General features: G+C 41.2%; 1 protein-coding gene across 31 annotated transcripts in view; it reads right to left on the bottom strand.

The window, feature by feature from the left end:
- RHBDD1 (rhomboid domain containing 1) overlaps window positions 1–13467 on the bottom strand; it is a 199052-nt gene that overhangs the window by 32377 nt on the left and 153208 nt on the right. The gene's annotated exons all lie outside the window — the stretch shown is intronic.

Genomic DNA, 13467 nt, shown 5'->3' with positions numbered 1-13467 from the left:
AAAGAATGTGGTGGCCTATGCCTGTAGTCTCAGCTGGCTATTCAGAAGGTTGAAGTGGGAGGATTGCTTGAGTCCAGGAGTTTGAGGTCAGGGTCCAAAAATATGCATTTCTAACAAGCTTCCAGGCAACACTTTTAGAACCAATGCTCTAGATCTGCACTGATACAATGGCCACCAGGCACACATGGCTATTTAAATTTATATGAATTAAAATTATGTATCAGGCACACATAGCTATTTAAATTTATATGAATTAAAATTATGCATAGCTGAAAACTCAATTCCTCAGTTGCACTAAGTTGTATTTATTTCTACATCCTCACCTCCTACTATCCATTTGTAAATACATTCCACATGCTCAGCACTTGTGGCTAGTGGCTCCCATGTTGGACAATGAAAACACGAAGCATGTCCGTTACTGCAGATACTTCTACTGAACAGTGTTGCTTTCGGGCTACTGAGGAGGCCCCTAGGAGGATCCCTTCTATATAGTTAGGTACCATAGGCAGAGAAAACTGATACCAAGGATGAGCCTTACGGTGAAGAGTGCAAGGACAGATGGTCCAAATTGCAGGCATTTCTTGTGATTGACCTGCTTCTCACCTGGGGAACTCTCCATAGCTCCAAGATGAGTAGCATCAAGGATCTATTTATTTAGGAGAGTAGTTAACTACTCACCCAAATAATGCTGGAAAAACTAGCAATTTATTGAGACAATCATATGGTTTTTATGTGGCGAGTCACATTTATTGATTTGCGTATGTTGAACCAACCTTATACCCCAGGAATGATGCCTACTTGATCATGGTAAATTAACTTTTTGATGTGCTGCTATATTCAGTTTGCTAGTATTTTTTTGAGGATTTTTCTGTCTATGTTCATCAGTGATATCGGCCCATGTTTTTTTTTTCATTGTGTCTTTGCTATAAACTTCGTGCTTTTTCAAGCAATTGCGGTTCTCCTGTCTAGCCCGCTGCCACTGGACTATGCTGTAAGTCCTCTCTATAAACTCTATGTCTTGCTTACTGGCTCTGGGTCTCCTCTGTAGCCTCTCAAACATGGTGCCATCCCTAAAAGTCAACAGGGCTCCAGGATGATGGCACATGGAGCTCTACTAATTCTCTCAATGTATACACCTCTGAGACTGAACTCTAATTCCTGTAAACCTGAACTACTTTCAACTTTCCAGTGGTTTTGGCCAAAAACCTTAGTCATTCTTCACTTCTCTCTCTCACAATTGCAGGCATTCTGTCAAAAAATCCTTTCATTTTACTGCAAAATGTGTCCAGAAGCTGACCTCTTCACACCTCCTCCACAGCTACTAAGTGGAGCCGCAGTCCTCTCTTGCCTGGATTACTGCAATGGACTCCTACTGGCCTTCTGCTTTTACCCTTGATGCTTGTATCAGTTTCCTAGGGTTGCTATAACAAATTATTGCAAACTGAGTTCCTTAAAACAACAGAACTTTATTCTCTTGCAATTTGGGAAGCCAGAAGTCTGACATCAAGGTTGTTGGCAGGGTTGGTTCCTTCTGGAGGCTCTGCAGGAGAACCCATTCCATGCCTCTAGCCCAGCTTGGGTGGTGCTGGCCATCCTTGGTGTTCCCTGGCTTGTGACTGTTCTCCAATCTGTCTTCACATGGCTCATTCATCTGTGTCTGCTTTCTCCATTTCTGTCTCTTATCAGGACACCTGACCCTAACCCAGGATGATCTCATCTTGAGATCCTTACCTTAATTACCTGCAAAGAGCCTTATTTCAAATGAGGTCATACTTGGAGGTTCTGGGTGGTCATATCTTTCAGAGGATAACATTCAACCCACTATGATGCTCTACAAATTATTCTCAATACAGCAGCCACAGTGGTCCTTCTAAGTTGAGTTAGATTATGTTACTCCTCTGAGCAAAACCCTCTAATGGGGTCCATCTCATTCAGAGAAAAATCAGAGTCCCAGATGGCCTAAAAGGCCCTGTGTGACCTGGCTCTTATTTCTACATCCTCACCTTCTACTATCCATTTGTAAAGAACAGTGGCTTTCACTAATGGATGTAAAAAGAAGTGAAAGGATTTGAGATGTATCTTGAGTTACCATCAAGAAGGCTTGGTTACTCACTACGTCCAAAAGGCCAAAAGGAATGAGTTGCAAAGGTATAAAAGAATTATAAATTCAGTTTGTACATGATGCATCTGAGATGTCCTTGAATATGTTTATTTGTAATTTTAGAGGCTCAGAAAGAAAACTGGGCTGAAGAGATAAATTTGGAAGTTGCCAGCATATAAATAGCAACTAAAGCCTTGGGAGAAGAAAAGAAGAGCTACAATTAAGTCATTAGGAAGGCTGATGTTCAAAGGTAAAGTGGAGGTGGGTGGGCCTGCAAAGAAGACCCAGGAAAGAGACCAGACCATATTAGGAAAGCCAGGAAAGTGTGACATTGGGAAAACAAGAAAGAAAAAAGGTATGGTTTCAAGGAAGGAGTAGTTAACTATGTTAAGTAAATTTGGGGAAGGAAAGTGACTCCAGGCCTTAGCAACATAGAGGGTGCAGGGGATCTTAGCTAGAACTGTTTTATTGGACTAATGGGAGTAGCAACATGACTGTAGTAGTAGAGGCAAGATTCAAAGTTGAAGAGGACAATATGAATGTAAATGGAACGGGGAAGGATGGTTACTGAAAGGCTGCTGTGTGTTACTGCATACTCACTTGCTCTCTTCCTCTCTCTCTCAAGATAGGAGAGGAGAGAGACTAAGAATATCTTTCAGTGTTGATGGGAGGGATCCAGTAGAGACTGAGAGGCTGAAGACACAAGGGAAAAGGGGATACTCAATGACAAAATATTTTTCTGAGAAGCTGGGGTAGGTGGGTGAAGGATTAGCTTTTGATAAGGGAAGAAGACTTCCCTGCTCAGTTGTCAGGAAGGAAGGAGTTAAGTAGGGGGTGGTGAGTACAGAATAGGTTCGTTTGTAGTTTTCATGATGGGAGGTTGGGGGCATTGCCTAGGGGTGGATTCCATTTTCTTAGGGAGGTCTAGGATAGTTGAGAGGTTAATGTGCATGTATGATAGGCTCAGTCTGCTCTGCTGAGTCATGTTCTCTAATAAGGCTTAGCTGCCAGATCCACATTCCAAGAAGCCTAGTGGCCAGGCTCACTCAAGTCTGGGATTTTTCCAGGTAAATGGAAGAAGGGTGAGAAGCAAGGGCATGGAAGGTATTTATATGGACCAGAAATCTAAGCAGTGGAGGGAGAAGAGCAAGACCACAAAGTAAGGAATCAATGAACTGGAAAGGAAGACAAAGAACACTGGGAGTTGATTACTCAGAACACTGGGGTCACCCGCGAGTAGTCAAAACTTCAAATGTTAAATCCATGAATATGAAGAGCCCAGTGTATCTACTAACAAAAAGAAAAGTAAAGGGGTTTTAGATAAGCTACTTTACTACCAAGCACAACTCTACTTTCTATCTAAGAGGACCAGAGGGAGCTTAATGCTGAAAAAGTAGGAAGGAAGTATTGTAATTCAAGGAATATCATTCCAAATCTGAGTTCTGTATCATGATGCCTGGTAAATGATTCCAAGAAAAGGTGCTTTACTGATTTTGCTACAGCTGCTATAAGTGTTCTATATAGAAGTTTTACTGGATTCTTTTTTTTATCTTAAGTTACTCTCAAGCATAGCGGTTCTCAACCAGGGGTGATTTTGCTCCCCAGGAGACAACTGGCAACATCTGGGGACACTTTTGGGGGTCAGAACTAGGGGAGAGGTGCGCTTGCGTCTAGTGGGTAGAGGCCAGGGATGCTACTCAACACTGCACAATACACAGGGCAGTCACACTCACCTCGACAAGGAATCAAGGAATCATCCAGCCCAAAGTTCCAATAGTGCCAAGGTTGAGAACCCCTGCTCAAGAACAAAAGCACTTGAAAAAGTAGGCTATTTACATCCAAGAGAAGAGGGCTCAACTTTGGATCAAAGTAACCAACCATCTTCAAATTTTCTGTACCATAAACCTACCAGTGGCCTAAATAAGACTATCTTTATTTTCAGAAAAGGCATTAAAATAGGTAGAAACGTACAAGCTTTACATGTAAGAAAGCATATGGTATGTACTTGATGCCTTCCTCCTCCCTTGTCTGCCTTTTCTCATTTTCTTGTTTCTTTCCAGAAAGATTATAATCTGTGTTCTTTACCAGTTCCTGCATACTGGAAAATTAAATTGCAGCCACAAATTAATTTCAGTAAAATCCTCTTGCCAGAAGTAAATGTAAAAGCCTGAAGAATTTAGTAAGATGGCCTTTTGCCCATATACAGATATGATTAAAGACTAGACTGCGATTAAATTCTGAGCAGAGTAACATAATTAGCAAATTTATGAATGGGTCTCCTTTTCACAGTTCTGTCAGGGCTAATTACTTGTATTAATTAGAACTGTCAACACATGAATATGCTTGTTGAAGCCATTTCCTATGGTAAAATATGAGACTTGTAAATATCAAGGCACTTGGAAAGACGCAAAGACTTTCATTTATTAGCAACTCTAAATGATGCAGAACCACTGACTGCACAATGAGCCTTGGGAATTGACTGTAAATAGATTCCTAGTTAATGAATTTGCTATTTTTTCTTTCTTGCTTAGGCATTAGTCTCAGTTCAGCCTTTGGATGAAGTGTCCAATATATCACCACTTTAGAAAGACTGCAGCAAGGATAAGGAAAGAATTCTACAGGTTACTGGAAAGAGTAGCTCGGATGTCTAAGCTAAGCAGGAGGGAGTTCCCATCTCTTCTCTGATTGGTCTGAAATGGGCTTAAAATGAATTTTAAGAAATGATGAAGTGATAGGGGAAAGACACCGGAGGCATTAGGAACGACAGACTGAACATCAATTGTAACTCTATGTGAACCTGAGTAAGTGGGCAAGTTACTTAGCGTCTCTGCACCTTCATTTCCTCACCTAAAAAATGGGGATCACAAAAATGGAGACAGCAATAGAACCTGTGACAGGTTACAGTGAGCCTTATATGAGTTAATATGTGGAAAGCAGGCAGACCAGTGCTCAGTGCGAGGTATGCACCAGCTGTTACTGTTTTCATATTATCATCATCTGGATGGGGGTGGAAACACAGACAACTGAGCATTCCTAAAATTAGATATAGGGGCAATATACAGAGTGATTAAGAGCTCTGGGGTCAGTTAGGGCTTGGTTCACACCTTGACTCCATCACTCATTCCGTTTCCTCTCTGCCTTAATTGCAGCTTACTTCATGAGTTCTTGTGAAAAGTAAATGAAAAAAAAATGCATGAAATGTACTTGATATTCCTGGTACATAAAAGGGACTTGCTAAATGTTACTGCTTAAGTATTCATTACCATTATTATCTTTTTGGAGAAATTTCCAAAATTGATTGAAATAGAAGTAAAAAGAACGATTTCTATAAGTGACCTAAGTGATGAGAGAAAACATGTGGAAGAGGAGAAAGAGAAAGAGGTAAGAAAAGGAAACAGACCCAGTGCTTTCCTGGTGCCAGTGCCCTCCATCTCCTATCTCAGGTAGGCATCCCAGCTGCCCCACGAGGAGGGTATAATATACCTCCCTACCCACAAAATACCCATAATCCCTCATGACCCCGTTCATGGAGAAGGAGAGGCAGAGCTGGGATTCCAACTCAGACCTGACTGACAGCAAAGCCCATGCCATGTTGAGGTTGTGAAAGCAAGGCTTGCAAAGGGCTTCCTTCATCACAGACTGAGGGGAATACAGATTCTAGGCTCTTTCTGCCTACTCCCCCACCCCTTTTTACGCTTTACATATATTTAAAAACACAGCAATGAAATTCTTAATAGGCAGTGCTTGCTCTGGATGGCTAAATCTCACCTGATAACTCCCATCAAATAACTACCATAAAACAATTTCAAATGAAGGTCAGTTAGCAACCATCTACAAAAGGAGAATTTTTTTGTTGTATGCTTATTGTACAAGGTCCTTCCAGATACTCGAATCTCTGACAGTGGAAAGATGAACCCCCTTATGAGTGCTGCAGGGGGCATGAAGGGAATGGCTGAAGAGAGTGACTGCTAAGGTCCCTCCCAACTCAAACATCTTATTTCTGAATATAGCGAGATGTCAATATTACAGCTTATTTCAAGTGGAAATCCACTTCTGTATATATATTCATTTACAGAATTAGACATCTAATAAAATAAGTTGATAACCCCTAATTTTGCCTTGAAATCAGGCCACACCTTAAAAATCAATTTGGTCAAAATTTTAGAGCATCGAAATAACCTAACACATACAAAGAAAATTAAGTTGGAGGATGTTCTGGATCCTTTCACAAACATGCCCAGTTAAATATAAAGTAACAGAAAATCCACAGTTGTTCCTAATGACATGTTGGTCAGCATTCCAATGCAATCAGTTAAAAGAGTGAAATTCTCTTATGCACAGAGTAAGCTGGATGTGAAGTGATGCCAAAGTAACAGACTTATCAACACAAGAAAAGATGTTCAACATAATTATTCATTAGGGAAACATACATGAAAATCACAATGAGATGGCACTACCATCGACTTGATTGGCTTAAGTTAAAAAGACTGACCATAGCAAGTGTTGGGGAGGATAGGGAGGACCTCGAACTCTCAAACACTGGTGGAGAGAATGTAAAATAGAACCAGCACTTTGGAAAACAGCTTGACAGTTTACTAAAACATAAATGTGGCCGGGCACGGTGGCTCATGCCTGTAATCCCAGCACTTAGGGAGGCCAAGGTGGGCAGATTACAAGGTCAGGAGTTTGAGACCATTCTGGCTAATACGGTAAAACCCCATGTCTACTTTAAAAGTACAAAAATTAGCCGGGCATGGTGGCAGGTGCCTGTAGTCCCAGCTACTCGGGAGGCTGAGGCAGGAGAATCGCTTGAACCCAGGAGGCAGAGGTTGCAGTGAGCCGAGATCGCGCCACTGCACTCCAGCCTGGGCAACACAGCGAGACTCCATATCAAAACAAAAAATAAACAAACAACAAAAAAAAAGTAAACATACACTTTCCACATGACCCAACAATTCCACTCCTAGGTATGTACCTAACAGTAATGAAAGCATATGTCCTTACAAATACTTGTAAATGAATGTTCATAGCTGCTTTATTTGCAATAGCCAAAAACTGGAAATCCAAATGTTTATCAGGTGAATGGATAAACAGATTATGGTATATCTGTACAATGGACTAGTACTTGGCAATGAAAAGGGATGAACTATTAACACACATAGTGATATGATAAACTCCAAAGTAGCTATGCTGAGTAAATTAACTCAGACAACAAAAATATATGTGGTACGTTTCTGTTTATAAAAAAATGTACAAAATGCAAACTAAACCATAGAGACAGAAGACCAGTGGCTGGTAGGGGATAAGGGTGGAGGAGAGTAGGAATAAATTACTAAGAGGCAGATGAATCTGTTGGGTGTGATGGCTATGTTAATTATCTTGATTATGGGTTATATATCAATCAAATGATAAAAATTAATCTTTACAAATTTTTTGAGAAAAGAACAGACTTCATTTCATATCCAAATTAATAACTGTATAGCTTGCTACGTGTTATACGGTGCCTTCTTAAACACCATCTCACTTGATCCTTACAAAAAGAAGGTATCATTATTCCTAGAACAACCTGTGTACTACAACCCAGATTTCAGTTATGAAACCGAGACTCAATAGGCCCCACAATTTGTCACTGCTTTAATGAGATTTATTGGTTATCTGTTCGGCTCCTGAAGACATTTAGATTTCTGAGGCTGCTCTATGCTAAAGAGAACTATTACCAGTCAGATAAGGCAGCTCCGGGCATATACATTATGATCCTTGAGGTTTATCGCGCTAACCAGAGTATGGTTTTATAAAATCTTAAAATCCTTTAAGAGATCTCAAAAGAGCAGAAGGGGAAGAAAAAATGTCTTATGTCTAGCTCTAACTGAATCAAGGGAATGAACTCAAAGAGGGATTGGGGACTGGGTATCCAACTCCTGGAGTCTGTGAAAAAGAAGATATGTCCCAAGAACCTGGCGTCTTTAAAATTTCAATATTCCAGATTTACACACACACACACACACACACACACACACACACACACACACAGAAAAATCCTTCATCCTAAACTCAAACTGCTCAATTTGGAATACCATATAGTAAACTTCAGTTTTTCTCCTCTATTATTAGGATGATATACCTACTTTAAGAAAAAATAATTGCTTCATTGAGATTTTACTCAACAGCTTCATTGAGATTTCATTTCTATACTACACAATTCGCCTACTTAGAGTGGACAATTCAATGCTTTTTATGATATTCACAGAGCTGTATAATCATTCCCACAATCAATTTTAGAACATCTTTATCACCCCCAAACAGAAACTCAATGCCTATTAGCAATCAACCCCTATTTCTTCTCTCACTGCCCACCCCACTACCTTTAGGCCTTGGCTCCACCAATGCACTCTCTGTCTTCATGGATTGCCTATTATGGCCACTTCATATGATCGAATCATATAATGTGGCCATGTGTCATTGGCTCCTTTCACTTAGCATACTACTTTCAGGTTCATCCACATTGTAGCCTGTATTAGCACTTTATTACTTTTTAGGGCCAAATAATATTCCATCGTATGCATATACCACATTTTATTTATCAATTTGATCAGCATTTGGGTTGTTTCTACTTTTTGGCTATTATGAATAATGTTAAAATAAATATTCACATACAAGTTTTTGTGTAGGTATATGTTTTCATTTCTCTTAAAAATTGGTGATTAATATATTCAGGTTAAACTGTATGTTTAACCTTCTGAGGAACTGCCAGACTATTGTCCAAAGCAGCTATACAATTTTACAATCCTATCAGTTTTGGGTGAGGGTTCTAATTTCTCTTTATCCTTGCTAGCCTAAGATTGCCTTTAAAAATAATTACTATAGCCATCCTAGTGGACGTGAAGTGGTATCTCATTGCGGTTTTGATCAGAATTTCCTTGATGGCTAATGGTGTAGAGCTTCTTTTCATGTGCTTATGGGACTTCTGTACATCTTCTTTGGATAAATGTCTATTCAGATCATTTGCCCATTTCTGAGTGGGCTGTCTTGTGGTTATTGAATTGTAAGAGTTCCTTATATAGACTTGATAGAAGTCCCTTATCAGATACATGGTTTGCAAATATTTTCTCCTAATCTGTGATGATCTTTTCACTACTTTTTTTTTCCTTCTTCTTTTTTTTTTGGGTGGGGGCGGTAGAGAGTAGGTCTCACTTCAAGACTCAGGCTGGTCTTGAACTTCTGGCCTCAAGCAATTCTCATGTCTTAGCCTCCCAAAGTGCTGAGATTGCAGGCGTCATGAGCCACTGTGCCCAGCCTCTTTTCACTTTTTTGATAGTACCCTTTGTAGCACAAACATTTTTTAATTTTGATGAAGTTCAATTTATCTATTTTTTGTTGGTTGTTATTCTCTTGGTGCCTAATCCAAGGTCATGAAGATGTCCATCTATATTTTCTTCTAAGAGTTTTCGAGTGTTAGCTCTTACATTTAGATTACTGAGCTGGTTCCACACCAGATCCTGCATGTTACCCACTGTCAGTAGTAGCAAGCCATATCAAGTACTTTATGTGCCTTCACATCGGGCCCTTTGGTTATTTGTGCTTAAAACAAGACTGGAATCTGGGGTGAATTTCATCCTACCTTTCTGCCCCCATGGGCAGTATCACTAAAATGAATATAGAATCGATTTTTGCTAAGATCTATTACAAATGGGAAATTCCATAAACTTCAAAGATACCTCATTGAGACCACCAATCAAGAAATATTCTTATCTTTTTCAACCTTGAAGTGGTAAGTAAACAAGAGCACAGAAGCAGGTGTGGAGGACACACATAAGCTAGAAGGACAGAGGAACACAATAAGGGCTGATTTGGCCTTGAAACATCACATTGCCAAAGAGCTGGTCTAACTGCCAGAAGCCATGCAGGTCAATGACACCATGATCCCTCTGTCTCTGTGTCATGCTTAGGATTCCTGCAGCTCACTGCCTCTGGCTAGTGTCCTTTCCTTTATCACTTGCTGCAGCTTTTGTCATTTGTCCTAACGTTTCTGAGCACTAGGGAGACAGATCTTTCTGTTAGCATTTCTGGGCAAGAGGAAACCTAATAATTAGAAGATTCTGGGCCCCAAGTCATTTCTCCACTCGGAATTCTAACAAAGATGTCAGAGTACAAAAGATGTAGCCCAAACATAGACGAACACTCACAACAACAACAACAACAACTTTTATCTTCCCAGCAGAATGTGTGACCTACACCCTGAAATCATGAGCAGGAGAACTTGGGGACTGGTGATGATAGGTAACACCTGATAACACCAGGCTTGCATGTCTCCTGGGGAATCAGTCAAATATGGAACCTACTCCTGCAGCTATTACTAAAGACACAAGGGCCGGGGGGACGTGTCTGGAGAGGCCAGATGACTGGCTAGCAGAGGGGACTACATCAATGCTAATAATATGTGACTCTAGGGAGAAGGCAGAGTGGGACTGCGCGCCTCAGGATGGAGGCGGGCACGGCTTAGTGGGGCGTGGGAGCAAGTTGAGCAAGTCCCACTCACTCACAGTGGGACTCCCAGAGGGGACACCAAGAGATTGAGAAACAGTGTGAGGTTCAATGGTACTTTGATAGCACACAATTTGAATTCCACTCACTAATCATACAATCTGTGCAACTCATTTCATCTTTCTGTGTATTGGTTTCCAAATCTCTGAAATGGGACTTCATAGGGCTGTCATGGGGACTGCAATATATGAATCCAAGTAAAGCACTGACCCTGGCATCTGCGTGTGCTAAGCACTCGGTAGATAATCGTTACTTGTTAGGGACTAAATCATGTCCCCCCCACCAATTCATTTATGGAAACCCTAACCCCCAATGTGACTGTATTTGGAGATTCGGCCCTAAAGAGGTAATTAAGGTTAAATGAGGTGATAGGGGTGGAGCCCTAATCCAACAGGACTGATGTCCTTATAAGCAGAGGGAGAGGCTCCAGGGATGTGTGTGCACAGAGAAAAGGCCAAGTGAGGACACAGTGAGAAGACAGCCACCTGCAAGCCAAGGGGCAAGGCCTCAGGAGAAACCAAGCCTGCTGGTGCCTTGATCCTGGACTTCTAACCTCCAGAATAGTGAGAAACAAGCTTCTGTTGTTTAAGCCACCCAGTCTTTGGTATTTTATTATGGCCTCCCTAGCATGCAAATACATTACTGTGAACAGCAAAACCAAGATGGGAGGACACAGCTGGGCTGACATGACTTTGTGGTCCCATTCTCAAAGATCAGTGACCCTAGATGCTAAAAAGCTGCATATTGTACAACAAAGAGTAACATCAAAACAACATTCAGAAAAGCTGTATATGCCCCTGGGGCAAGGTGAGAGTGCTTAACCTGCTCTGACAACTTTTAACAAGCTTTAATGCAAAACACCGCAAACTTTCTAATTAGTGACTTGCTACCTTACGTGGTTCCAGGATCTTGCAAAACAAGCACATGGATCCCTTGACTGAGGTTTGGGAAGGGTGTGCAAACAGGGCTCCTGTCTCCCACCTTCTGACACTACAACTGCATCTCCCTGACGATATCATCAAGATGTTAGGCAGAGCCAGGCAGGGCATCCAAAAGAAGAGCTCACAGCCCCCTCAGCCAAGTGACCCTCCCTGAGCCCTCAAGGTCCTGTGAGTTCTTGGCCCCAGTCTACTGCCTGACTCACTGCTTGGCAACTTCTCCTGCTTTCAGTACCCTCAAGCACACCAATCTCTCCCCCACCTCGATACTGTAGGAAGGCAAGTCCCTCTGGGTGAACGCTCCCCACTGTGCCTGCCCCCACCCCTAACACATCCCGCCATACGTGTATGAACATGTATTATATGAACATACTCTCTCCTTCTCCCTAAGCACTGCCCCCCTTCACTCCTTCTCTTCTTTTAGGCCTCAACTTAAATGTTAATTATCGTCTCCTTAGAAAGGTCTTTGGTGAACCTTCACCTCCCTAGTTTCCTCTCCCATTCCCATTACTTTTTCAACCATACCGATTTATTTTCTTCATAGCATGGCCTCCAAATTTAACTACCTTTATCAATCCATCTGCCTATTTATCCCTCTGTGCATCTCTTCATCCTCTCTCCCGTCTCTTTCTCTCTTTTTCTTTATTTTTGGTTGGTGGGGGTCGGGGGAGCAGTGGGCAATGATATTTAATACCAGATGAAAAGTTGAAAGAACAAAGCAACTTGTTTGCTAGCGGCTAGAAATCATTAGTTTCTTCTAATATTTTTATTGTCACTAAAGTCTATTTGTATCATGGGAAAGCTAAAAACTATTACTTTGTTATAAAATAATAAAAACAAAACAAGGGATTATTAAATCATGGGTTCTTAAATCCATAAGCACATTCTCTTGATCATAGTAGGTACTCCACAAATTCTTGTTGAAAAAAATGAACCTATGGTCTAAGAAATATCAATATTCAGAATTTAAAAAAATCAATCACCCTCACTATTAATAATTAATCACTTCTTTCCTGCAAGGGAAATTATAGATGATAAAAACTCATCTATGTATCTCTGTTTCTCTCTCCCCTGTCCCTGTCTTCTTTATTGTCCAGTTTCTCCACTCAGGGTTTGGGTGCCGTCTGTTTTATTTGCCATCCTCTCAGCACAGCACCGGAAACATGGCAGGTATTCGATCAACAGTCGTTAAATGAATGCAAGCTATGACCACCCAGGAAGAAGAGCAGGTGACTTCCGTTTAACCTCATCCTGTGCTTCAGAAGCCATGGCAGGAGGAGGATGGTGCCACCCACCCTCTTCCCACATGTGAGAGCAGCCAAAATAACCAGGTAACTCATGTTAAATGTAAAATGGCAGAGATGTCCTGCTGCAGTCTTCCAACACCTGTTAGGTTGTCAGCTTTCATAATTTGGGTCTTAAGAACGCATCACCAAAATGATCGCTGGAACCCATTAAAACTTAAAATAAGTTTTAAAATAATGATCTTCCCACCTCTCTGTAGTTGTTCACAGATGCTTCTCAAAGCGAATGTAAGTACCAGAGGATCTTACTGACAATCCTTTAAGGTAGCTGGAGAATAGCTCACGATGGTCAGCACGTGCCTTACTGCTTCCTGAAGAACTTAACTTTTTTGATTGTATATTATAGTTAAAACAAACTTAGGTGATAAGGTAGAAACAGCTTTGAATGGGGAGTGTAATGATATAGATTCCAGGATAAGCCCAGGGATTGAGAGGCCATGTGGCTCTGAGCTCATAACAACCTCTCTTTCCAGGGTGCAGAGTGCCAAGGCAGTCTGGGCCAGGCCATTTCTAAGGCCTTAGAATAACTATATTACTGAGAACTCTGTGTAATTCTTCTAGGGCCAAACCGCTGCCATTTGGC

The sequence above is a fragment of the Homo sapiens genome, chromosome 2, assembly GCF_000001405.40.
Source record: "Homo sapiens chromosome 2, GRCh38.p14 Primary Assembly".
Lineage (NCBI taxonomy): Eukaryota > Metazoa > Chordata > Mammalia > Primates > Hominidae > Homo > Homo sapiens.
Note: the sequence above shows the minus strand (reverse complement) of the source record. Positions and strands in the feature narration are given on the sequence as shown.